General features: G+C 44.6%; 1 protein-coding gene across 51 annotated transcripts in view, besides 2 other annotated features; it reads right to left on the reverse strand.

The window, feature by feature from the left end:
* Nucleotides 1-27,148, reverse strand: part of APBB2 (amyloid beta precursor protein binding family B member 2) — a 404,516-nt gene that overhangs the window by 63,106 nt on the left and 314,262 nt on the right. For all 51 annotated transcript variants that reach the window (XM_047450191.1, XM_047450181.1, XM_047450169.1 and 48 more), the window contains 2 exons: nt 20,133-20,279; nt 17,232-17,359 (listed from right to left, as the gene is read on the reverse strand). In XM_047450191.1, the coding sequence (XP_047306147.1) occupies nt 17,232-17,359; nt 20,133-20,279 (275 nt within the window). The remainder of the gene's footprint in view (nt 1-17,231; nt 17,360-20,132; nt 20,280-27,148) is intronic.
* Nucleotides 24,254-24,754: an enhancer, noted in NCBI's record as "H3K4me1 hESC enhancer chr4:40899403-40899903 (GRCh37/hg19 assembly coordinates)". NCBI's record gives its function as "activates a minimal SCP1, AML or CMV promoter by ChIP-STARR-seq in primed H9 embryonic stem cells {active_cell/tissue: H9 hESC(primed)}" and the evidence as "EXISTENCE:reporter gene assay evidence [ECO:0000049][PMID:30033119]".
* Nucleotides 24,460-24,754: an enhancer, noted in NCBI's record as "tiled region #11490; HepG2 Activating DNase matched - State 12:CtcfO, and K562 Activating DNase unmatched - State 4:PromP". NCBI's record gives its function as "activates a minimal TATA promoter and a strong SV40 promoter by Sharpr-MPRA in HepG2 cells, with weaker activity in K562 cells {active_cell/tissue: HepG2 | K562}" and the evidence as "EXISTENCE:reporter gene assay evidence [ECO:0000049][PMID:27701403]".

The following is a 27,148-nucleotide window of genomic DNA, read 5'->3' on the forward strand; positions in this document are numbered from 1 at the left end:
CATTTCTATCCTCCTGCCCTGGTTAGCATACTTCTGTGGTATAATCTGCTCTACCAGTTCTGGGGCCTAAGAGAATGACTGACAATGTTATGATTAGAAGTGACCCAAGATTTGACAACTTAAGATCTATATCTCCTCTCTTTTTTAAGAAGCACTCTAATTTGTACAGTGTAGACATATTTAAACCTTATCTTTTATTTAAAAAAAATTTTCCCTCTTAATTTTCAATCCTTGACTTAGTGAATTTAATTAATAGTATCAGGTTTTATCTTTCTTAATAAATAACTTCTACAGCTTCTCTTACGTCAATGAAGAAGACAAAGCAACTCTTAAGCTCAACGCTGTACAGAGATGAATCAGAACATTTCCTTTAGGCAAGAAGGAGCTGAGACAATTATGCTAGACCACTGAGTTTGTGGGGGAAATATATTAAGAAATTTCACACCGTCCACTAGCTAAAATGCTTTTAGGAATTGCTGCTACTCTTCGCAATGAGATCGCTGGTGGTGGAGGAAACTGGTTTGGCAAGCAAGTATCTTTAGGGCTGAGGTGGTTCTGTGCACTATTATTCTCTGATTAATGGGGAAGGCCACGGGTGTCATTTGGATAGGTCAATAAATATTAATTGGCTGTAGGGATAGATTTTTAACTTTGTGTTCTTTTAGTTGCTTAGGGATTTTACAGGGGGAAAAAACCCGCAAAATACTCCTGTTTTAGAATGCATAGCATTTCCCAATTATTGAATAATAGAGAAGTCAGAGAAAAAATCTGTATTTTATACACTCATTGGTTAATGGGGCATTACAATTGAACTCTGTTTATTTATCAAAATTTATATCCTATTTCCTTCCCAAAAGAATTAAGTGGCTTACAATAAAAGGCACACACAGTCTATTATGTTCTAAATTTAGAAAAGTAAAATTTAAAGCCAAATATAAGGAAGAGAAAGTAATTCTATAAATTAACGAGGCGAAATATTAGTTGGAACCACATTCAACCATTTCTGATCCACAAAAACAGCAATGTTATATGATTCTATCTGATTTAATTACTGCAATTGCAGGTTTAATTTAACTTGAAACTTCCTAGCAAAAAGGGAAACATGATAAACTATACTATTTTCCCTGTTAACTAAATTCTTACATGCATATCCTTTGAGAGACAATATTTTCTAGATACTGAAATCTAAAAGAAATCTGCATTTCAGTTTTTTATCCAAGGGCAATTTAACAATATAAAGGACGTCTTCAGGGATGATATTACCAAAGAAGTAGAGATTTCCTTCCTGGGATCATCACTTACAACTGTATTGACTGAATGCAATGGAAGTGCTGTTCGTAAGAACACAACACTTTTCAGAGAAGGCACAGGAGGCGGGGGCAGGGCGGGGGGTGGAGATAAGTAAATGAAAGTCTGAAACTCTAGCTTTGTTATCCTGTCCCCTGATACAATGTTATCATTCAGAATCCCTAGAACAGTGTTTTCTGACCTGGTGGGTCCCAGAACTGCTGGCCCTCTGAAGGTTCGCCGTTAATGAAGCCAATAATATGTCTTCTGCTCATCTAGTGTTGACTGCGGGACAGCTCAGACCCTTCAACAGCTGAGGGTGTGTTTTAGGGGCTTTCTCTGAGAATAGAACATTGCATACAGTGTTTCCCAAAATTATGTGAGTGTGGAATCTCTTTTTCTTTAAACACCAGTTACTAAGCTGGTAGAGTGCTCAGCTCAAAAACTTCTTAGAAAATTTGACTGAGATCAGTATTATTCAAACTATGACCAATCAGTGGTCACAAACAGCGTTTTAAAAGTTAAAAGAGTAGTAAAGAAAAAAAATCAAAAAGCAGGGCACACAGTGCAAGTCAGAGCTGTTGTGTGACATTTTTGGTAGTTAAGTGTGTGAAGGCACAGTCCGGTGCAGCTGGGTAAGTGCCTGGCTCAGCTGTGCTGCCTGGGATGGGGGCAGGCAGGGGTGAGACCTGACATGTCACATCGTGGGGTTTGGCTCCATCCTGAGCAGCAGGGAACATGTCATGTCTTTTTACCCATCAGAAAAATCACTTGGGTTGCTGATTGTCAAGGACACAGACAGAGATGGGAGTTAAAGATCAGGGGTGGACAAACAGGTATAAGAAGTAGTTAAGAAAAATTAACCAACACTTGGAAATAAGACAAAAGGAGGACAGTGTGTCTTTCAATGTCACAGTAGAGCAACACTTAATGGACCCTCCTAAGGATTACTTACTTCACTAGGGGAGTCCCGTTCAACAGAAATACAATGCAAGCCACATTAAGTAATTTACAATTTTCTAGTAGCCACATTAAACAACTGGAAAATGGAAGTGAAATTAATTTCAATATTTTATTTAAGCTAATATGTCCAAAATACTATCATTTCAATGTGTAATCAATATGAAATTGTTATGAGACATTTTACATCTTTTTAATACAATGTTTGTGAATTCTGGCATGTATTTTACACTTTACAGCACATTTCAATTCAGACCAGCTACATTTCAAGTGCTCAAGGCCATCACCGAAATGAACAGCCCAGCTCTAGGGAAATGTATTTTTATCTGACTTTGCTAGTGATTAGGGCTCAGACTCTGGGAGAGTAGTTGTTAATTTGTAGAACATTAATATGTTACAAGTAATGTTTGCAACTTTCTGCTAAGAAAAAAAAAAATAACCCCAAAGGTGAGGATTTCATTGCCAGTAGAACATTAACCAGTTTTGTATCCACCTTAGTCATCTATTCTAGTATTTTCTCTTTTCCTCTAGCTGCTGTTATGATCTGTGTTATGCCTTTGGTTTCAACTGTTTTATTAGGCTGTGTCTAGGCAGCAGTACATGTGTGTTTGTGTATGTGTGTGATTCTTCCTGGCTTGAGGTTTTTTGAAACCTTTTCAAATTCTTGAAAGCACAAGTGCTTCCTGGTGGCTTGGTTATCAGGTTTAGAAGATTCTCAGCCTTTCTTAGGTTCCTTTGAACTGGTGTTGGTAGCCAGCTCATGAGTTAAATAAATCTTTGGCATGCACTCACTGCATATTTTAAAACTTTTATTTTAAGCAACCTTATTGAGTATAATTGATACACAATAAACTGCATATATTTAAAATATCCAATTTGATAAGTTTTGACAATATGTACCTGTGAAACTATTACCACCATCAACATAATGAGTATATCTGTAACTCTCAAAGATTCTTCCTGCCTCGTTATAATCCCTGCCTTCTGTCCTTTCCCAGGTAATCACTGAACTGCCTTCTGTCACTACAAATTAGTTTACCTTGCATTTATAGAATTTTACATAAATGCAATCACACACTACCTTTTTTTCTGGTCTGGCTTCTTTCACTCAGCACAATTATTGTGAGATTCAGCACGTTGCTGTATATACCGTTGTCGCTTGGTGTCTGCAGGGAATTAGTTCCAGGACCCCCAACGATGCTCAAGCCTCTTATATAAAATGGGACAGTATTTGCATATAACCTATGCACATCTTCCTGTATACTTTAATCTCTAGATTACTTATAATACCTAATACAATGCAAAACTATGTAGATAATTGTTATATTATTTTTAAAAACTTGTATTATTTTTCATTGTTGTATTTTTTTCCAAATATTTCCCATCTGCAGTTGGTTGAATGTGTCGATGTAAAAAATCTGCAGATATAGAGGGCCGACTGTATCAACAGCTGGTTCCTTTTCACTGCTGTGTGGATATCTGTTATACAATATACCATGGTCTGTTTATCTATTTACCTGCTGATGGATATTTGAATCATTACCCACTGTCAATATGACAGCCTGTTTTTAACTCTGACCTAGGTATTAAGGAGGTAGACTCTTTAGGGCTGACCACCACTATGGGTGGGGAGGACCCACAGGAGCAGGGTCGGGGGCTCCCACACTGCTGACCTGTGTACTACATGGCAGAGCCATTAACCACAGTGGCTCAGCATAAGTCCAGTGGATGAACACATGCCGAAATGAGTGAATGTATGAATGCAGAACACGGGAGAATAAATAGAAAGAACAGCTTTGAAAATGGGGTCAGGAGTCTGTCTTGGCCAACGTGGAGTATAACAGATTTGCCTTGGCATCCCAGCAGAAAGCTGTTACCCATCTGAGAGCAAAGGTGGCCTAGCCTAGGTTAGCCAAGGTTGGGCCATACCCACTATTTACACCCTCGTGGCACGTGGTTAGGAAAGAGACTTCTCTCAAAAGACAACTCAATTCTTTGGAGCTCAGATGCTGTTTATGGACTTAGGGGATGACGTGTGCCCTCTCATCCTTGTTCCCATCCTCATTCCAGGTCTGTATAAAGGCAGGTCATGTAGGGGTGGGGTGCTGAGGGCCAGGGTCAGAGGGGATCAGATACTTTCAATCTGAACTAAATCTCTATTTCACAGATTTGGTAATCAAAGAAGGGTCAACTCTTTGAAAAATGGCATTAATGCCTTAATCGGTGCTATATATAAAATTCCTGCAAACTCATCCTGCTGTGCCCTGTTTAGTTCACCTGCTGGGACAGACCTGGTTTTAGGACCTCACAGGAACATTTGATTCTGTGAGTTGAAGATTGAGACTTGCAGTTTTCTAGTGTTGCTTCCAACAAATTCACTCAGGAGCTCTCCTTTAGGGAGGAGGCAAGAAGGATTTAGGGATCAGGGAGGTAGGAGCCACGTGTCATGAACTATTGTCCAGTGGCAAAGTGACTCTTAACTCTATCATGACCTGCCACACCCCGGGCAGAGCAGCTCAGGGTACAGGGCATGGGGCTCGTGAGCCCTGCCTGAAGATGGCTCTCCAGTGGGCAGGGTGCTTGGTGCAGAGAAAAAGCAGCCCTTGAAAATGCAGCTGGAGCATTTTCCTAAAGGGGCAGACTTGGCAAGACAGGGTGGGTGGCTGAGCATTAGAGAAGCAATCAGGCCGGACTCGGTGGCTCACGCCTGTAATCCCAGCACTTTGGGAGGCTGAGGAAGGCGGATCACTTGAGGCCAGGAGTTCAACACCAGCTTGGCCAACATGGCAAAACCCCATCTCTACTAAAAATACAAAAATTAGACGGGTGTGGTGGCACATGTCTGTAATTCCAGCTACTCAGGAGGCTGAGGCATGAGAATCACTTGAACCCGGGAGGCTGAGGTGAGTTGACATCTTGCCACTGCACTCCACCCTGGACGACAGAGTGAGACTCCATTCCAAAAATACCAAACCAAACCAAAACAAAACAAAAAAAACAAAATAAAAGAGAAGCAATCAGAAGCTTATCTAATGCACTGCCCGCAGAGAGAAAGGCACCTGTGTCTGCTTGGCTTTGTCCTCCCCATCACGTTACCTGCCTGTTTGCCATGTCAGCATCCATCTTCATCCACTGTGTCCCTGCCATGCCCCCTGTCCGGATCTCCCTCAGAGACTGTAACTGTGCCCCCTAACTCATCCTCTCCCGCCTCAGGACTTTCAAATGTTTCTTCCTCTTTGGAGTATTTCTGGTATAAAATTTCTGACTGAATGAGAACATTTTCTGGGTTTTATTTTTCTTAGTCTCCCCTCCCCCATCACACTCTTCTAGATGAGTGAATGGTGTCAGAGCCCGTCTGTCACCCACTCTGTGTTCCTTTATTTATAGCCTTGATGATTCTTCCAGGGTTTGGAGAGGTTTATTCTTTCCATTTTAAGTCAACTCTCTGGCTCCCTTCTTTTTCTTTGGCCCCACGTCTGATCTGGCATTTCCGTCCTCTGGCTGCCATGACCGCGCCTGCATGATTCTGTTCCCAAGAGCTTTTTACTCTTGGAAATTGGGTTCTTGCTTGAGGACTCTGGGTTCAATTTCCTAATTCTTGTCTTTGATTTCCTTTCCTGTCTTCCCTTTTCAAACAAGCACATCCCTAGGCCACTTTTTGGGGAATAGCCTAGAAGAACAGAATTCCCAGTTGAAGTTATAACAAAGAAACATGAGACCCAGTGCCTGAGCCCAAAGTGTGGGTGCTGCTCCGAGGGACTGCAGGGAACATAACTCTACTGTCTTCTTATCTTAAGAGAGAGCAGTGTGCAGGAGGAGACTAGAACGTGGGACCTGGAAGGAAACTGGTGCAGCCTCACATGGACTCACAGAAGCAGGAACTCTTGGCTCCCAAGTGAACAAGACTTTTTCAGTCCACCCAAAGGCTCAAGGCTAGCTGAAAATTCATGACACGATAATTCTCCTACATTCTCATTTTTCTCTGTTAAAATATAACTCCTCTGAACACAAGCCATTCCAAAGCTTGAGTTCACAGCTCTGATACTTAAACACCAATTCTGACTTCATAAGAGGGTTAGAAAAATACAAAGCCATTTTGGGGGGCTCTGAACAACAATTTTAGCCTTTGAAGGGCAGCATCAAATAGCTCTAGGGAACTCTATGAAGAGTCACCAACTCGTTAGTTGAGACTCACTATGAACTAGAGATAATTTCTAGATATTAAAAAGACAGAATAATACTAAGCTCTCATGTTAAATTTCTCCTTATTTTTAATAATATGTTACGGTTGACCCAGGACAATATTTTTTTTCTTTCTTTTTTTTTTTTTGAGATGGAGTCTCACTCTGTAGCCCAGGCTGGAGTGCAATGGCACAATCTCGGCTCACTGCAACCTCTGCCTCCTGGGTTCAAGTGATTCTCCTGCCTAAGCCTCCCGAGTAGGTGGGATTACAGGCATGTGCTAACACACCCAGCTGATTTTTGTATTTTTAGTAGAGACAGGGTTTTGCCATGTTGGACAGGCTGGTCTCGAACTCCTAACCTCAGGTGATCTGCCCGCCTCAGCCTCTCAAAGTGCTGGGATTACAGGCATGAGCCACTGCACCCAGCAGACCCAGGACAATATTTCAAGGAAATATTACTATGTTAATAAAAAGAGTGTCACTGGGAGCGATGGCACTTATGACCCTTGCATGAAAGGACCTCCATATTTCAGCTACGTCAGTGATGATCTCCAGTGCGGATGGAGACAGTGGCACACAGAGCGCCCCTAACATCAGTGCAAAGGAAGAGGCACAATTACATTGCAAATGGTGAGATTCCTACTCCAGTGTTCCTTCTCTTGACCTACTCTAGCTCTCAAAAACTCGACACAATGAGACTCCTTGAGTTCCACCTGATGTTCTCAAATTCTTCTTTCCCAGTGACGAACTGTGCTGCACTAAATTCATAGTCACTGGACTCCCCAGGAAACCAAAAATCTCAGGATGATGACATTTGAGTAAAAAGGTTCCAGGTGACAACTCGTGTATGAAAAGTGGTGACTGCACCTTCCTTTGCAACAAGAGGCTTTTAGCAATTCTTCAAGCACCAAACCATGCACTGAACATCTGCATAAGTTCTGGGTTATCATGGTTATGACTTCCTCTGTTCTCAAAGACATTCATCCATGTTTACATGGGTTGTTAGGCTATTTCTTTACTCAAATGACTCTTCTTTTCCTGGGATGCTCCAAGTATTCAAAGAAGATCACGGCACTTTGAGGATGGACACAGAGAATCAAACATGATAGATCTCCCTCGCTCTGCATCCAGAAAGGCCCATCCTTTGTCTGGCTCAGGACTCAGGGGAAGTGCGAGATGGAAGCTGTTCGAAGATCATCATCAGACTTTTCTGCTCTCTCTTGACACAACAGCCTCAAGCCCCCACACGTCACTGGCTGCTACTGAAACATGCTCACAAGAAATCCTGAACCATGCTTTGAGCCAGAGTTACCAAAATGGACGAGGTATTTCTCAGGAGAAACTGTCGCCTTCATAGATTCATGAACAGGGACAGGACCGCCATGAACGATCTGTCTGAAAATGCCCTCCCACTTTCCTCTAAGGGAAACTGTTCTTGGACAATCACTTACGATGTCTTTCCTTAAAGGTTATTCTGTGCTGAAAGTATTGCAAGCATCCCATCATGATTAATGGAAGGCAGAGAAGCCACTTTTAAAGAGATAAAATAGAACCACAGTGTAAGTCAGCAAAACGGTCAAGTAAATCGTGATGCCTCTGCTTATCATGGAGCTGCATTAAAGAGAAATTAACTCCAGAGGTCAAGACAATACTATAGTGTAGGGAGAGAATTATTGTTCCTTCCTGAAGACTTTTCTCCCTGAGGCAAGACAGCACATACCATAGATTAAACTTTCATCAGCAGATCTTGGAATTCCATCAGTCTTTCATTACTGACTGGCTCAGAGAATCCCCTACTAGATGTCATCAGGAAACTCTACTTCTTCCAGACTGAGACCCCACCTAATCACTCCTAGGGAAAAAAAACAATGACCAAGAAGAAACAGAGATAACTTTCAGATTAGCTCAAAAACAAAAGAGACCCATTATTCCTTTTCGCTTTCTTTCCTTTTATCTTTTCTTTTCTTTTTCTTTTTTTTTTTTTTTTTGATACAGACTCTCGCTCTGTCACCGAGGCTGGAATGCAGCAGTGCAATCTTGGCTCACTGCAACCTCTGCCTCCCAGGTTCAGGCGATTCTCCTGCCTCAGCCTCCCAAGTAGCTGAGATTCCAGGTGTGCACTATCACACCTGGCTAATTTTTGTATTTTTAGTAGAGATGGGGTTTCACCATGTTGGCCAGTCTGGTCTCAAACTCCTGGCCTCAAGTGATCCGCCTGCCTCGGCCTCCCAAAGTGCTGGGATTACAGGTATGAGCCACTGCGCCCGGCCGAGACCCATTATTTCTAAATCACTGTCACCTAAAACACTGCCCTTTATCACAGACAATTTCTAATAATTTAGAAAGGAAGTCTCCTTGGCACAACGGCTGCAGTGTCACCTGCAGTGTGGTGTAAACACAAAGAAGAGCCACACTGGCTTGCTCAGAAAAGCTTTCCTGACTGCCCTCCATATGGTGGACAGACTGCGCTGTGTGAGTGGCTGTCTCCTTCAGTCAGCGCTAATTCAATCTTAAAGGTCAACCAGGGAGGGGACAGGCAGGACCAGGCAGGAGACAGAAACCACACCAGTCATTTGAACGGAGAATAGCACATAGGATTTTAACTAATAACTACAATGGCAAAAGGGGATCCTGAGAAAGCTCCCATGGAGGCTGCAACTGTTAAGAGGGGGGCTCTGACCTGCAGGGTTGAGGGAACAGAGGAGAGAGGTTGCAATAATTAAAACATAGAAGCTTCACGGAGGAGCCTCCTGGAGCAAAACCTCGGACTGCAGAGGAAGAGACATTGTTGGCTGCTGATGGTGTCCCTAGGCTTGAAGGAGGGACCCCAGGGCCAGGACCTAGACTTAAAAAGAGGGCTTGCCTGCTAGCTGTGCTGGAATCTCTGAAGAAGCCGTGTGATGAAGCCAGTTCTGCATTTCTGTGAAGTTGGAAAAACTGCAAACTGGATTCAGAACTGATGCAACTGGGATAAAGCTGTGTTTCTAGGATGGTGCTCAGAGAAACAGGAAGCAAAGGAGGGAGCAAGTTCCTCCTTCCTCCTCCACCTGGCAGTTCTCCTTCGAGTGCTGCACAGTCACCAGAGTCTAACAGGTAGCAGACGAGAGAAGCAGGAGCGTAGTCTGCGGAGTCCCAGCCCCAGCATCACAAAGCTGAGCGGGGAAGTGTGGGTTTGGAGCTGAGGGGACAGCTGCTTAATGACACTAGTACGGGAAGCAACAGGCCGTGGGGGTGAGAAACTTGAGGTGACTGGTTTTCACACTGCGTCGGAACGTTAGCTGTTAAACTTCTTTGGTGATTGAGTTTTAACTTGGCAAATGTCTGTGCAACTAGAGACTCTAGTTCCGAGTCCTTTGCAGCTGAGTGTGGCCAGTGGGGTGTGAACGGAATGTGAGTGTACCTGAGGTACGCAAGTTCCAGGTGTGTTTAACTTGGAGACAAGTCACTTGGTCTGGTGAGGCCAGGACGGCAACTGAGGGATGGCAGAGCAACAATCTGGAAGGAGCCTGAACCCCTGAGTGGCACAGAGCTGTTCTTCCAGGTGGCAGTGCCCACTGCAGCTGTGGCATGAGAACTAACCTCTGGCACTGAAGCCAGTGGACTGCAGAGTACTTGTGGCAGCAGCCTGCCCTATACCCTTTTATAATACACAGAAGGCTGAGGTGAGAAGATCACTTGAGCCCAAGGTGTTCAAGGCTGCAGTGAGCTATGATCACATCACTGCACTCTAGCCTGGGTAACAGAGCGAGACGGTGGCTCACACCAGTAATCCCAGCACTTTGGGAGGCCGAGGAGGGCAGATCACCTGATGTCAGCAGTTCAAGACCAGCCTGACCAACACGGCGAAACCCCGCCTCTACTAAAAATACAAAAATTAGCTGGGCATGGTGGCGCATGCCTGTAATCCCAGCTACTTGGGAGGCTGAGGCAGGAGAATTGCTTGAACCCAGGAGGTGGAGGTTGCAGTGAGCCGAGATCATGCTACTGCACTCCAGCCTGGGCAACAAGAGTGAAACTCAATCTGAAAAAAAAGAAAAACTTACTCAAGCTTAACTCTACGGAACAGTAGCAAGGCTAAGCCGTGCTTTCAGGGACCCCCGAATGCTGCTAGTAGAAGACATGGCTAGGAAGGGAGATAGAGACTGCCAAAAAAAAAAAAAAAAAATGGGCCCTTTCCACAACGACTTTCTATATACAGCAGCTACAAAGATCGCCTCGTTCCATTCTGAGTATGTTATTACTCAAATGTTCCTTCTATGAAGAGCTGGGCTGTGCTGAGTTCCCATATCTGGGTCCCCCGTTCTTTTTCTTAATGCTTTGAAAATGTGGAAACTATTCTCAGCTCATGGACCCACAAAAACGAGGCTCAGGAACATGGTGTGTCCACCTTTGCTTTCCATTCACTCATGTGGTCTTATCTCTTCAATGAAGAAGCCAGACTGTAAGGACAGGGACCATGCCATAGCCTTCTGTGTCCTGCTGCTGCCTAACATAGTATTTAGGACGTATCTGACCCAGCCTCTCCTCCCCTGCCAACCCCGGGACATTTAGACCATTCACCATCTCTTGTCAAGATGAACAGAGTAGCTTCCCATTTGGGCTGGCAAAAATACCTGGGGTGTGTTTTTTGCTCTGCCACAAACTACATGGGTCACCTAAGGTAATCACACTCTTCTGTCTTCAGTTTCCTAACCTCTAAAATAAAGAGACTGAAAGACACTAATACTAAAGCACCTTTTAAATCTAAAAACCTATGAGTCAAAGTTTTGCATATTCTAAATAATTAATCCCAATATTCCTCAGGATCCCTGAACTCCTCCACAAAATTAAGCAGTGTTTTCAAAAGAAGTCAAAACAAAGCAGCAGAACAGCACTGGCATGAAAACAAGAACATAAAGTACATGTGACAAAGGCCTTTTTTAAAACATCCTAACCAGGCACAGGGGCTCGCACCTGCTATCCCAGCACTTTGGGAGGCCGAAGTGGGAGGACTGCTTGAAGCCTGGAGTTCAAGACCAGCATGGGCAACAAAGTGAGACCCCGTATCTACAAAAATAAAAATAAAAAAAACACCTGTAGTCCCAGCTAACTCAGGATGCTGAGGCAGGAGGATCGCTTGAGCCCAGGAATTTGGAGGCTGCAGTGAGTGATGATCACGCCACTGTACTCCAGCCTGGGCAACAGAGCAAGACCCTGTCTCTAAAAATAAAAAGAAATAAAACAACTTGGGCCAGGGTCTTGGTGGATAAATACAGCTGGGAATACCTTAGAAGAGAATATGAAAAAAAATTCGGTACAGTGGACACTATATTCTTTAGACAAAAGTTCCTGAGATCATAATCAGATAGAACAATCAAGTCAAAGATAACCTCATTTGGAAATTTATGAATAATCTATGACACAGAAAGATTTTATTAAAAGTTGTTCATCAAAACCAGAAAAGAAAGGTATTAAACACCTTCAAGGAAGAGAAGTTTGGCTACACAATCTGTAAGCATAAGCAACATCACAGGGTAAACACTGAACCTGAATAAGAGAGCACTGTTTAAAAAGCACTGCACACATCATGACTGTTGATGGTTGTGTGAGAAAACATTTTAAATGGTCCATTTTCAAGGCATGATAAATCTAAGTCCTGGCAGCCAGGCTGCAAATGTAACAAACCACATGGCTCATGCACCTAGAAAGTCACAATAAGCTAACAGAATGTAGAGGAGGGGTCAGCCCATTAAAGGGAAGAAAGTTTTCTTATTGGGAAATGAAAATTAAGCGGGGAAGGGAATGAGGTATAACCTTATAAGGGGGATAATGAAACTTAGGTAATGTCCAGGAAGATTGTAGCCCCATAGTACTCGGCCAGTGAGGAATTGGGGGAGGGACTGGCGTGCTAGGAGATAAATTACCTGTTGTGACTGTCCCAGGTGTGCCTGCCCACCAGATACCCGATCTCGCAAGACTGTTATTAAAAAGTCTCACTTTCACTGTTCTTCGTGCCTCTAAGTCCATTCTTGGGGTTTGGATGGGTGAGTGTGTTTCTCATAGTTGCCATTCATTATGAAGAAATTTTATCTTCATTAGAGCAGGCCCAATGGGGTCTCCACTTATAATATTCATTAAAAGTAATTCCAATTTTTCTTAATAATCAAAAATAGCAGTTTAGTGTTGCCACGAATTTAAATGAATGAGTTTACTAATGACAGCAATATTTCCTGAAGTGTGTTCCATGTGATTGTGTTTCCACCGAGGAAACGGTCCAGCCAAGCCTGGGAAACGCTTTCTTGCAGAGTCCTAGTGCATCTCAGCGTAGGAAAACCTCTGAGAGGGCCCAGTGTACTTGGTTTAACTCAGTTTCCCAAGTGACTATAGAATCTTTTTTTTTTTCTCAAGGGAAAACCGTGGATTAATCACTGATAGGGAAGCCTCTTGGAAACATCCCATTTACGGGGTCTGAAACCCTCTGACAATATCCATTTTCCTTTCTTGTGGGAAATGGCTGAGATGAGCAGACTATAGGGCTCATTGGCGAAGTACACAAGGATCTCTGTGCCCCTACCCAGAAGATAAGCCTCCATCAACCACGAGGCAAGAGGGGAGTCCCTGTTCCAAGTTCCCTGTGTTCAGAAATTATGTTTTGGCTGGGCGCAGTGGCCCACGCCTGTAATCCCGGCACTTTGGGAGGCCGAGGCATGTAGAGCACCTGAGGTCAGGAGTTCAAGACCAGCCTGGCCAACATGGTGAAACCCTGTCTCTACTAAAAATACAAAAAATTGGCCGGGCGTGGTGGCGGGCGCCTGTAGTCCCAGCTACTTGGGAGGCTGAGGCAGAAGAACCGCTTGAAACCGGGGGGCAAAGGTTGCAGTGAATTGAGATTGCACCATTGCACTCCAGCCTGGGGAACAACAGTGAAACTCCATCTCAAAAAGAGAAAAAAAAAACAAAAGAAATTATGTTTGCTTGGCTTTGGTACTTCTGTAAAAGAATAAGGAGGAAGGTGCTCGCCAGGGTCTGAGTGAATAAGAAGAACGCTGAGGCCGGAAGTTAGCACAGGTCCCTGAAACTGGGTAGGGACATCCCTCCAAACTCACCTTTGAGACAGTAGCCTGGCAGGCCCACAGAGACAAGATGAAAGGGAGCATTCGGTCATTGGCCTCAGTCGCCAAGGGCAGAAATGCCAGTTCTAAGGCCCAGTGCACACACCTGCGTACGTCCTCCTTTGCACAGCAGGCAGGAGCAAAGCAGGCCAACCTGGGTGCTCCTGGGGCTGAACTAGATTGGAAAGACAAAGCTCATGAAACCCCTTGCCCCAGCCTCCATCTCCAGGGGCCGTGACATTTACCTCACTGATCAAAGGGAACAAAACTCAACTATGGCCAAGAAAGAGGAGGCAGCCCTCACTTTGCCAGGCAATAAAGCAAATGGGCCCCAAGAAACACCGTAATAAAGACAGACATGGCTCTCAACAAGACAAAGCCTTCAGCATAGTTGTGCGACAACCAAAACCCCACAGAAGACTGGTATCAGATGTGACTCAACTCCTTGTGCTGTTCATAGTAAGAGGTCTCTCCAACTCAACCCTGGGGGGCTCAGTGGGGGTGTCATAGCCAATCACCTCCTCATGCAAAGTAAACTCATTCCCGAAGGAATTTCTTCCAAGTAAATCAAAACCACTTGAAAGCCTTAAGAAAATGTCACATCCAAAATACTTTGATAATTTCTGAAATTACGTGGCTCAGGGAAGCACTCTGGATTTGCAGAAAGATTTTGCGCCCTTCATGTCTGGTATAATACACACTTCTCTTATTCATTTTAACCACATCAAGAAATCCCTGAAGAGATTCCACTTTCTCAGCAAGGAAAGTTACAAAAGAGAATGTGAAATGGGCTTCTTTTTCGCAAGCAAAAATGTTTTATTCATGCAAAGTGAAAAGCCCTTTCCTTTGCAACATTACAAATTGAATTTGCTCTTGTAAATTGCTGTTAAGGAAAAAAAAAGGAATCAAAAGCAAAGGAAAGTAAAAAAAGCAGGAGTACAAAGACCCCTTCTTCTGGGGAATGGAAACTCAGGGGACCAATGGGGAGAAACAGAACCTTTCACTGGCAAACACACTTTTAAAATTTACCGTTTCCATGCCAATCCAGCTGAAGGCAGCCACAACCCCATGATCTTGCTGAGGTCCTGCTAGCTATGTGGAACCCTCCCATGATCTCGCTGAGGTCCTGCTAGCTATGTGGAACCCTGAGCGTATTTCGAAATTACACTCATCTGCTGACACTGAGTGAGAATAAGAAGTGATTTAAAAACATGAGTAATACAGCCCACGTTTCAAAAACATAACCAAGGCAATGTAACCTAATTCACACTGATTTCATCAGGGAGTAGGAAGCTCTTCCTGCTTTGTAGGACAACTGAACTCATTAGGGTCTGGAACAGCCGCTCATCCTCTAGATCACGTGATCAAGCGTACTTCAAGTCTCCCTGCGGTCTGACTCCTCTCCGACCTCCACTGTCTTTAAAAGGAAGCCATGTCATTAGCTGCATCTGCTAGCGTGTGTTTAAAAATCAAGGGCTAACATTCATTAAGCATCTGTCATGTCCCTATCACTGAACCGATTACTGTATACACATGCACATGCACATATACGTATGTGTTGTGGTCCTTATTATGATCCTCACTTCACAGATGAGAGAACTGAGGCTCAGAGAACTTGAATAATTTTGTCAACTGGAGTTTGAATCATTTGTTTCCTTCCAGACATGTAGCATGTGGCCTCACTTTAAAGAGTTAGGGTAAGCTGAAAACCTCATCAATACAATCCACTGACAATCTGACCTTAGGAAAACCCAAGCTCATCCACTCGTACACGCATGGAATGTAACAAGCTCCACACTTTGGCTCCTGCCTCGCACACGTATGTAATGTAACAAGCTCCACACTTTGGCTCCTGCCTCGCACAAGTATGTAATGTCACAAGCTCCACACTTTGGCCCCTGTCTCGCACACGTATGTAGTGTCACAAGCTCCACACTTTGGCTCCTGCCTCGCACACGTATGTAATGTAACAAGCTCCACACTTTGGCTCCTGCCTCGCACACGTATGTAATGTAACAAGCTCCACACTTTGGCTCCTGCCTCGCACATGTATGTAATGTCACAAGCTCCACACTTTGGCTCCTGCCTCGCACACATATGTAGTGTCACAAGCTCCACACTTTGGCCCCTGCCTCGCACACGTATGTAGTGTCACAAGCTCCACACTTTCGCTCCTGCGTCGCACACGTATGTAATGTCACAAGCTCTGCACTTTGGCTCCTGCCTTAAAAACAAACTTGGAGGACAGAAACCAGGAAAAGCTCAAGCATCTTACACCCAGGACCTTCCACCAAAGTTAAATGTTTTTAATGACGACCAAATATCACCAGAGAGCTTCCTCGTAAAATTAACCAATTCATGCATCTTTCCAGGGCTACAGCTCTGGCAAGCAAGGGAATGACAGGTGTGCGCACATAATCCATCCACCCATTCCCCCAAAGCATCTGGCCCAGCTGTCATCATTCATCACTCTGGTACGAAAGCTCAAAGATGCAACTGTGCTCCCAGGAAGGCTTATCCAATTGGCAGTGAGAAGAAAGACACTTCAGCTCTCTCCTTTGCAGACCATTTCTCATGTCTGGTTCTAGCATAAATGCTTACTCTTTCACTGATGAATACTTGGCCATAATCCTTCCTTTCTGGTTTAGGTCTTGGAACTGAATCAAATGCGCTAATGCCCAGCGTTGGTTGACAAAGGCTGTGATAAGCCAAGGTAGACAACAACCCCATTAGAGAGGACCACATGACTCAATAAAAAAGCAGAATGTTCAGAAATGGAACCATAAGCTCAGGAGAGCCGCCTCTCTGTTGTCGGGGATTTTTATCCTCTTTTGCAATGCTCTTGTCCATTTTCAACAAAGCAATAACAAGCTATCATCCTATAGCTCGTCCCTAAATGCTAGGAGATGCTCTAGTACCTTAGGAATTGCCAAAGACTGACTATAATTTAAGAATTAACTGCATTTAATGTAGACCAATTACTTAACAATGGTCTCTGAACATAAAGTCTGTGATAACTGCTATTTTATTAGTTAAAATACACACTTGAAAATCGGAACTCGTTTCCAATCATCCTGGAGAACATAAAATTCATAACACATCTAAGATGCATTTCTTATAAATAACACATTTTCAGTAGAATTTCAGAAAAATACACATCAAATGGAATTTTGATATGACCAGACCTTTCAAGTGTTAAAAAAGTTTAGCCAATCCCAAAACCCAGAAATTCCTGATAATCATGATTTAATGACCTGAGGCTTGTGATGAAAGGCTGTACAACGTCCCCCTCAAGTAAGCCCTTGATGAAGAGAACAGCAGCAGGAGGGCCTCTGAAATGGCTGAGACTTCACTGAATGAAATGGAATTCATTTTAAAAAGACTGCAGAGAGGAGGGGAAAAAGGGGTTCAGATGGCCTGGGTTGGAAACTTGGTTGCATGAGGAGGGTCAGGAGAAGACACATGCAGAACTAGAAGGCAGGATCAGGATCAGAGTTGACAAAAGATTTGAGATACAGAAACCAGGAAGGGAAGCAGTTTGAAGTCTTTAAGAGGCAGGGAACTAGAGACAAGCTTTCATTTTTCACATTTCTATATAGAAGCTACATGAGTTTCGTATTCCGTGAAATGCTGCGAGCCCATGCTTTGGTGTTCAGCTAGACCAGGGACACGGGTGAGGTGACCCAGACTGCCCCACCCAGGGACTCACCGGCCATTGTCGCGGCCCACGCCCCACACGCGGATGCTGACGATGGGCTGCGAGTGCAGCACGCTGCGGTCCATGGGGTCCACCAGGCTGAGCATGTCATTCTCCAGGATCAGGTACATGTCTTTCCCCTGGGACACAACGAGAAAACACGCTGTCTTCTTCATGCAGGCTGGAAAGCCTAATCGTGTGTGTGGCCATCTAGGAATGCCGTGTCAACCATCAGAAGAAGCCACCCTGGGGTCTGTAATTTGTCTGCCTAAGAAACTTCCTTTCTGGACAAGAATATTGATATCTTTCAGTTTCCCCTCATACACCCAATTTCTCTCTCCCTCTCCGAGTCCTCTGAAATGTGTCCCCATCCTGCTTTCCAGGCTGCTCTTAAATTTAATTATTTACACTTCTGAATCTTTACGACAAAAGGCTAATTGTGGTTTCCCTGGAGAATACGTCTTTTACTAATTCCATGCCCATCAAACTCTTGGAACCTGTCTCTCCCCATTCTTCTGGCCAGATCCTACCAAGCATCCCCTCGATGGCCTTTCCAAACCCACAACGATATCTGCTTCCTCTCGGCTTTTACACCACTTCCTAGCTGTGTGGTCTGCCTGGCAGACAGCAGGCACAGCTTTGTGACATTTCTCAGCACTAACAATGGCAAACATTTAAATGACAACATTAGGCTACGTGCTTAAGGTGCACTGGCTCATGAACTCTCTAAATTGCCCTCTGAGGGCTTGGATTGTTACTATCCCAGTTAGCAGCTGGGGAAACTGAGGCTGAAAGGTTAAGTAACTTGCTCAGGGTCTGACATAGAACCTGTGGGTGCTGCTGGGATCCCAGCACAGGGGAACACCCAGGTTTCTCAACTCCTGCACTATCTTTCAGAGTCTTACACTCTGGTGTCCCATCTCCCCACCTGTGTTGGCTCTTTGTGGGCAGAAGCACTAGACTATTCAACTTGATTCCCCCTGCAATCTCCCCGGCATAATTTTAGGACATCATTAAACATCTGTTGCACAGCTGAAAGACTCTCTCTCCTAAAGGTCATCTAGATGCTGGAGCACTGATGATGGAAGTTCTGGCTCAGCAGAACAGTGAGGCTTCTCGGTAGGTCTTCAAATCTCAAAGTAAAACAGACAAATTGCTTTCTGGTATAGTTTTGGGGAATGATGTTTTAGTTTCCTACCAAACATTCTCAGAGTGAAATACAGCTCTGATGCTCAGGGAGGCAGAAATAGGTATCTCAGTGCCTCTGTCAGACAGCGTTGAAGCTGTGGCCTGTCTACAGCTGAGATCCAGCCTGGTCTCAAATCTTCCCCAAAGAGCAGCTAAGCCATTTACAGATGAAAGCACTGGCAGAAAACAGAACTTGTGCACTGTTGTGGTGAAACAGATTCACCAGCTACTCAGAAGGCTGAGCATGCTGCCTTAGACCTATGGCTCCTCCAAAGGTCAGTCATTCACATATTAGTGTAAGTCACAACCACCTACCTTCTAAATCCTAGCCAAGAAAGAACAGCAGTTTTGACTGAAGGAGAGAGAAGACAGGTGGAGAATTTGGTGGGAAACATAGGCCTGGGTTTTGTTCTTTTTTTTTTTTTTTTTTGAGATAGAGTCTCACTTTGTCACCCAGGCTGGAGTGCAATGGCACGATAGCTCACTGCAACCTCTCCGCCTCCCAGGTTCAAGTGATTCTCCTACCTCAGCCTCTCGAGTAGCTGGGACTACAGGTGCGTGCCATCATACCCAGCTAATTTTTGTATTTTTAGTAGAGACAGGGTTTCACCATGTTGGCCAGGCTGGTCTCAAACTCCTGAGCTCAGGTGATCCACCTGCCTCGGCCTCCCAAAGTGCTGGGATTACAGGCATAAGCCACTATGCTCAGCCAGGCTTGGGTATTTGGATGGGAGATAATGCGGTGAGAGAGGACGGTAAAGTCAAACAACAGAAGAGGGTAAATGGCTTTTCTTGGATGGAAGAAAATTCTTCCAGCTCTCCCTTATGCCTAGAATCTAAAAGTCAGCTTGGCAATGCAGTGATTCAGCTCCACTTTAAGGAGACAAACTCCACCATGGAAAGGCTTGGAAACCTACTTCCCATTGGGATGTGCTGCTAGGAGAAAATGTGAGTGGAGTCCCAATCAGCCCAACCAAAAAGCAAACTTTTCTACCACTGCTCTGTTCACTAGAAGCAGAGAGAACAACATCTATCTATTCATGTAGCAAACACTATTCCAAGATGCTCCCAAAATGCTTTTTCCACAGGTCTCAGAGCACACCAGGAATACAGCTTTTCCGGTTTGATGTGAGTTTCATACACATTTGGTATCTGTACTTATTTTTTCCTTTCTGAAATTATCTCAACTAACATTTCAAAATGGAATCACTCTGTTAAAAGGGAGAAGTATATAAATATCAATTCCACAATTCATGTATAATGTTGATTCTTCAGACGCTAAGTAAAGAAGAGTGTTATAAAAGAATAATTTGTCAACTTTTAAAGCAGAGGCATCAACATTTTTGTGTGGACGTGTGGAAGTCACCTTCCCCTTTGAGAATACAGGTCCTTCTTCCAGTCTGCAAAACTGCTCTTATACACTGGCACATCCCATTTTGCAGGCATGTTTAGGGGAGTTCTGGGCCCCTAAAGCTCACCCGTGAATCTGTGTCCTTAGCTACTGAGAAACGCTCTCTCTCCAGGCCCCAGTCCTCACTGGCATCTGGCAGTGCTAAGGGATCAGTCACACGGGGGTACCATGCCTACACTTCCTGCATTAATGGGAAAAGGCACCTGATGAACACCTCGGAGCCCCTCAGTACCATGTGTCACTGAGCTGTGGGGCTTCCTGAAATGCAGGAGAACGTAAACAGCCTGCCGTGCATCATTCTACATGCCACTTACCTCTCCCCAAATCCCGACTGTGTCTCGGATGTCATTTTTGCAGTAGGAAAGTTGCCTGATGCAGTTGTTGACCGCAACACTACTTTTACCGGGGGCGAGGTCCTCTTCTGCCATCTCTACCCATCCCAGAGAACGCACAGCAAAACACTGGAAGACAGTGAAAGAGGACAAGAAGTCACTCCATGGTTTGGTCAATCATATCAGTTTACACTACTCCCCTCCCGCAACTAAAAGGTACTACACTTAATGCACCTTTATTTGCTTCATTATGTTCAATCATCTAATTGAGTTAACAAATCCTCTATTGCTGGAAATTAAATTGTAACTATTTTTTGCTATTTAAAAAAATGTAGTGACAAATATCTTTTTGCCTGATGTGTTCAGATTTCTTCCTTAGAATAGGTTACTAGAAGGCCAGGTGCGGTGGCTTACACCTGTGATCCTAGCACCTGTAATCCCAGCACTTTGGGAGGCTGAGGTGGGTGGATCACCTGAGGTCAGGGGCTTGAGACCAGCCTGGCCAACATGGCGAAACCCCGTCTCTACTAAAAATACAAAAATTAGCCAGGCACGGTGGTGGGTGCCTGCAACTCCAGCTACTCAGAAGGCTGAGCCAGGACAATCGCTTGAACCCAGGAGGCGGAGGTTGCAGTGAACCAAGTTGGCACCATTGCACTCCAGCCTGGGAGACACAGCGAGACTCCATCTCAACAACAACAACAAAAAAAGAATAGATTATGAGGGCCGGGCGCGGTGGCTCATGCCTGTAATCCCAGCACTTTGGGAGGCCGAGGTAGGCAGATCACGAGGTCAGGAGATCGAGACCATCCCGGCTAACACGGTGAAGCACCGTCTCTACTAAAAATGCAAAAAATTAGCCAGGCGTGGTGGTGGGCGCCTCTAGTCCCGGCTACTCAGGAGGCTGAAGCAGAAGAATGGCGTGAACCCGGAAGGCAGAGCTTGCAGTGAGCCGAGATCGCGCCACTGCACTCCAGCCTGGGTGACACAGAACGAGACTCCGTCTCAAAAAAAAAAAAAGAATAGATTACCAGAAATATAAGTATACGGCTAATGGATACAAAAATTTCTAAGCTCCTGATACTTCTTATAAGGCAGTTTTTTAAATAGTGAGAAATGCAACCCTGTGAAATCTGTTATTTGGTAAGCACCTAGAAACAGTGGAGACAGAATGAATTAACTGCATGTTAGGCACTTGTTTCTAATAACAGAGAAGCAAGGTGTTTTCTCTAATACCCAGAAAGGCAGCAAAACAAGGAAAAAAAGTATCCACTCATGATAACAAATAAGTGCCAGGTCCTATAGCGTTTGTGACGAGGGAATCTTTAAATGCTGAAGTGCTTGCAGAATTGACAGATTTGTGCTTTTAAAACCATTTATTCTTGTATCACTTAGAGATATTTTGTTTGAGATCATACTTCTTTTTTAAGGTTCTGTAATTCAATTTTTCCCTTTAATTAAAAAAGTTCTATATGCTGTTTATTATAACAAGTAAAAAATCCAAAGACGTATGGAGAAAAAACTTCCCAGTGCAGGTAAGGGTGACTTGGCTACAGCATTTGCCTTGCTGGTGATCACCAGGGTTGCCGCATGCCTGAGCTGGGTCCCTCATCTCTCTCTGCATCCCTGGTCCCATGCAAGCTGTCCAGCAGTTGCAGAGGCCACCTTCCCCAGATAGGAAAGGCAGACATGGAGCCATCCTTCCTTGGGAGCCAACAGACTGGATCTCAAAGAACAGCTTGTAAAGTTTCCAAATGTGAGCTTCATAACCAAATGAATGAATACAGCAAAGTGTCCTGAAGTGATCATATTCGGTCAAGGGCCACCTTCCCTCTTCCAGTCACCGTGCACAGACTGGGCACCTCGTTCCTGAGCGGATGATCACACTTTGTCAAAGGGGAAAAAAAAAACTCACCAAAATATCAAAGACAAAACAGCCCGTTTAAGCAAACAGTGCGCTGATCCTCACGTCCCAGAGGAGAAGTGTGACCACCTCAGCAGCCACTCTGCTGATGGTGCACAAGGTGCCTTTCACAAAGAAACCAAAAAGAGAAGGCAGTCCCCGTGACAATCACAGAAGCTACTCAGGAGTCTGAATCTTGGGGAAAGGTTCTGCACATGTATACACACTGCAGGGAACCAGCCCGATGGTGAAGAGGAGGTCCCGGGTGCCAGAGCTGGCTGTGGCCAATTCAGAGCTAGCCAGGTCTTGCCTGGCCTGCCTGCCCCTCCGCAGCTCTGCTCCCTCAGTCTCAGACCAAAGTGTGTTTCTCCAGGTGGATGTGTTGGATATTCCACAGAAGCACTCCACCAAACGTGCTGCTTTATGAAAACGCACAATTGTGCCAGTCTGATCCCTAAGTGCCCAGGCCCTGCTCTCCAGAAAGTGCTGTGCAGCCCACTAACCTCTCTCCCATGTCGGTTCCCAACCCAGGCCCTAGTCAGTAAAATCACAGTGTCCCAGCTGACTCCCCTGGCCTGCCATTCCAACCTTGTCTCCTACCACCTCTATTCAAATGTCAAAAGTATTATCTCAGTGAGTCCTCACCCCAACCCTTTGAGGTTGATACTAAGTTACTGTACCCATGTTATACATGAGGAAACTGGGTTCAGCACAAAGCTGGTGAGTGGTAGATCCAGGATTCAAACCTGGGCAGTTTGGCTTCTGGGCTCCTACACTTAACCACTTTGCTATATGCCTCTGAGATTTTTGTTGGGGGACAATGTCAGATGGTGTTAGGATGATAAACAAGGCTGGATAAACAGCCGGTGACCTCAATACAGTTCTTTTTTTTTTTTTGAGACAGGGTCTTGCTCTGTCACCCCGGCTGGAGTGCAATGGCATGATCTCAGCTCACTGCAACCTCCACCTTCTGGGTTCAAGTGATCCTTCTGCCTCAGCCTCCCAAGTAGCTGGGATTACAGGTGTACACCACCGTGCCCGGCTAATGTTTGTATTTTGGTAGAGATGGGGTTTCACCATGTTGGCCAGGCTGGCCTTGAATTGCTGACCTCAAGTGATTGGCCTGCCTTGGCCTCCAAAGTGCTGGGATTACAGGCGTAAGCCACCGCACCCAGAACTCAATACAGTTCTGAGCGTATGTGGATCAAGAGTAGGAACAGCCTGCATTCTAATCTCAGCTCTCTGATGTACTGTGGGACCTTGGACAAGTCATTTACTAAGTCCCAATTTTGCTCGTTTGTAAAAATGGGAGCAATAATAATAATTACTTCAGAGGGTTTTCATGAGGAGAAAATAATATAAGTAGTGAACTTAGAAAATAAAAAACACTTGAACATTTGTTGAATGAATGAGCAAATAAATACAGTGTCATGTAACTCTTAACTGAATAATCAAGAAGGAAAAATGAGAGATTTGTATTAGGGTGACCACATGTCCCAATTTTCCCCTCAATAGTTCTGGGGTATCCCTGTCATTCTGGCAAAATTATTCAGAGCAGCTCCTTTTACTCTCAAAAAGTGTCCTGGGTTAGACAATAAATCATATGATCACCTCAGTCAAAATTCTGGTGAATTCGGCTTCTGGCATGGAAACTGGGGCTTGGACAGGGTACTGTGGAAATGGGGTTCAAGACCCACAGAAGCTGCCACCAGGAGAGCATCTTAGTGACCCTGGCTGGAGTGAGCCCTAAGACAGCAATGTTACTGTGAGATAATACTCTTCAAACCAGAAGTCAGAAATGCGTTTTCCCACTGTCTCCAGCTGTCTACTATAAAATCCTACAACCTAGGACTGCTCAAAAGAATTCAGTAACAACAAAGAAGGTAAAAAAGAATACTGGCTGTTTTCTCTCCTTGGAATCCAAGATGACAAATATTTTGATCTAACAGCTCACTGAACACCCAGAGTATCATTCTTAGCTAAAATATGCAAATCACCCGACCTCACCCCAGCACATTAATAATACTGTTTTTGCCGGGTGGGCAAACAGGCTCATGCCTGTAATCCCAGCACTTTTGGAGGCTAAGGCAGGCGGATCACTTCAGGCCAGGAGTTCGAGACGAGCCTGGCCAACATGGTGAAACCCCGTTTCTACTAAAAATACAAAAATTAGCCAGGTGTGGTGGCACATGCCTGTAATCCCAGCTACTCGGGAGGCCGAGGCAAGAGAATCGTGGCAAAAGAATCGTTTGAACCCGGGAGGCGGAGGCTGCAGTGAGCCGAGATCGCGCCACTGCACTCTAGCCTAGGCGACAAGAGCAAAACTCCGTCTCAAAAAAAAAAAAAATTGTTTTGTCATACTGATGAATATAAGCCTGACATATTACTATAGTGAGTTTATTTAAAATCATTTTTCTTGGGTAACCCTGCTCTTGTTTTAATTTAGTTTCTCATCTGAAGAGTTTCACCCCATTCCATGTGGCTTAAGTGAGAGGAAACAGGTGTAAGCGGGACTAGGCAGCTCCGCCCGAGGGGCCAGCTTGGCTTCTTCCCAAAGAAGGGAGCAGAAACGAGCAACCTGCAATGTTTGGTGCTGCCCCCGTGTGGCCAGGAAGGTTCATAACCACCACCACTTTCCCTTAAACCCAGGAAGGGATGCCGGGCGTAATCAGTTCTGGGAATAAATGCTCATCTTGGAGCATGGGAAGAGCTCAAAGTATTTAATCAAGTCATCTGCCACTTAAAAAAAAAAGTTAACAAAAAAAAATCAACATATACACTTTGACTTATGCCCATTCTTCAATAGTTCTTAACCAAAAGGGCAAAAGAGTAATGGTTCAGGGTAGAACCGTGTCATCAGAGGAGTCTGGATTCAAGTCACGATTTTGCTACTTTCTGGCTGGTGACTTTGAGTTAAGTCACTTCAGGTCTCTAAGTCTCAGTCTCTTCATCTGTAAAATAATAATGCCACCTATACTTTACAGCATGTGCGAGGCCCAAAGAAGATAATGCTGGTAAAATGCTTAGCATCATGCCTGGCAGACAGTCAAAACTTCGCAAATGTTTATTATTATTTTTTGTTTGTTTATTATTTTTGAGATGGAGTCTCACTCTGTTGCCCAGGCTGGAGTGCAGTGGCGTGGCGTCAGCTCACTGCAACCTCCGTCTCCCAGGTTCAAACGATTCTCCTGCCTCAGCCTCCCGAGTAGCTGGGATTACAGGCATGCGCCACCACGCCTCGCTAATTTTTTGTCTTTTTAGTAGAGACGGGGTTTCACCATGTTGGCCAGGCTGGTCTCAAACTCCTGACCTCAGGTGATCCACCCACCTTGGCCTCCCAAAGTGCTGGGATTATAGGCATTTGCCACAGCATCCGGCTTTTATTATTATTATTGATAAACTTTTACTCTTTTCTATTAGTGGATTTTAAGGATTTCTCTAGTTTAACAGATTTCAGCCAAAGCCAGCACGTGGAGATGTACTGTAGACCACGATACATACGAATATATGATCTGGAGGGCTTTCTTAAAACACACAACAGGCCGGGCATGGTGGCTCATGCTTGTAATCCCAGCACTTTGGGAGGCCAAGGTGGGCGGACCACTTGAGGTCAACAGAGTGAGACTCCATCTCAAAAAAAAAAGAAAGAAAAAAGAAACACACACACACTCACACACACACACACACACACACACAGAACACTGGGCCCCTTCCCCAGAGTTTCTGATTCAGTAGGTCTGGGTAGGACCCAAGAATCTATATCTCTAACAAGCTCTCAGATGATGCTGAAGTTGTGATCTGGGAGCCACACCTTGAGAACCACTGCTATAGACAGATGGCTCCTTTCTTTACCCTAAGTTATGTGGTTCCTCAGACTGAAAGTAAAATCTAGGTTCAAATCCCAGGGCTGCCTCTTACCATTTTTGACCTTGGGTGAGTTAGTTAACCTGTCTGTGTCTCAATGTCCTCGTTATAAAATGTGGGTACTAAAAATAACTTGTCTCACAACAAATGTTGTCAGGATTAACTGGGCTAAATTCGAGTTTGCTGCTGCTTCTGTTATTGTTGTTAGTTACTATGGGCATTTAAGGGATCTGGGTCATGGCTGACCCAGAAGGGACACAGCTTTTGACCTGGGCCCCCTTCTCTCCCATTTGTTCTCTTTTCTTCCACAGTGGAATTGAGTCATCCTATCTTAGTTGGAACACTCATCTTGTGTGCAGCTTCTATCTCTGAGTTTTATAATACAGCCATCTACCTGCAGAGGACCTCTCCCTAAAACATGTGTCGTGGAGCAGAACACAGAGCAAAGCCTGGGTATCTATGACCAGATGGTCTTGGGTTCGAATTATATTCCAATCAGTGGATGCTCAGCCTCCAGGCATCTAAGGTTACTCAGTTGAACAGTGATAAGGAAATGAAGAAGGGCAAGTGGCTGGGACATTGTAGGCCCTCAGCAAATATGGACTTCGTTCTCTCTGGTTCCGCAAGATACTATTATTTCAATTTTTGTTTTCCTGTCTTCCATTTCTCTTTTCTCCTGCTGAATTTCTAGGTTTCTGTCCTTTTCCTTTCTCTGGGCTTTAATGCAAGCAGCAAAATGAGAGCATGCTGTCAGAAAACTGGGGGATCTCCTTCAGGGACCAGGTGGGGCAGGGGATGCAGTGAGGGGTGAGACCAGGGGCCAGGAGCCAGTGAGCCGTGGGATACAGGCCTTGCCTGTAACCAGGAAAGTCAGCCTCGGGGTACAGGACCAAAGAAGACAGTGGTAAAATGAGCTCATGTCCATGAAGGAGCATATCCGACACCCAGGGCACAGCTGCTGCTCTGTGACTGTTGAGAGACAGTGACCAAAAGGTAAATGGTACCAGAACATATAACAACGTTAAGTTACAGATGTTAGAAAACGAAAAGAGTTCACATCAAAAAGCTAAAATGTGGCCCGACACTACAAATGTAATCCTAATTAACAGTCATCTATGGGAATCATTTACCACTCAAGCCTAATTATCCTGCAGCACAATAACAACTGTGTATTCGCGATGATAACATTTCCTGAGTGCCTGTTAGGTCCTGGAGGACTACAGAGATGAGT

Source organism: Homo sapiens, chromosome 4, assembly GCF_000001405.40.
Source record: "Homo sapiens chromosome 4, GRCh38.p14 Primary Assembly".
Classification (NCBI taxonomy): Eukaryota; Metazoa; Chordata; class Mammalia; order Primates; family Hominidae; genus Homo; species Homo sapiens.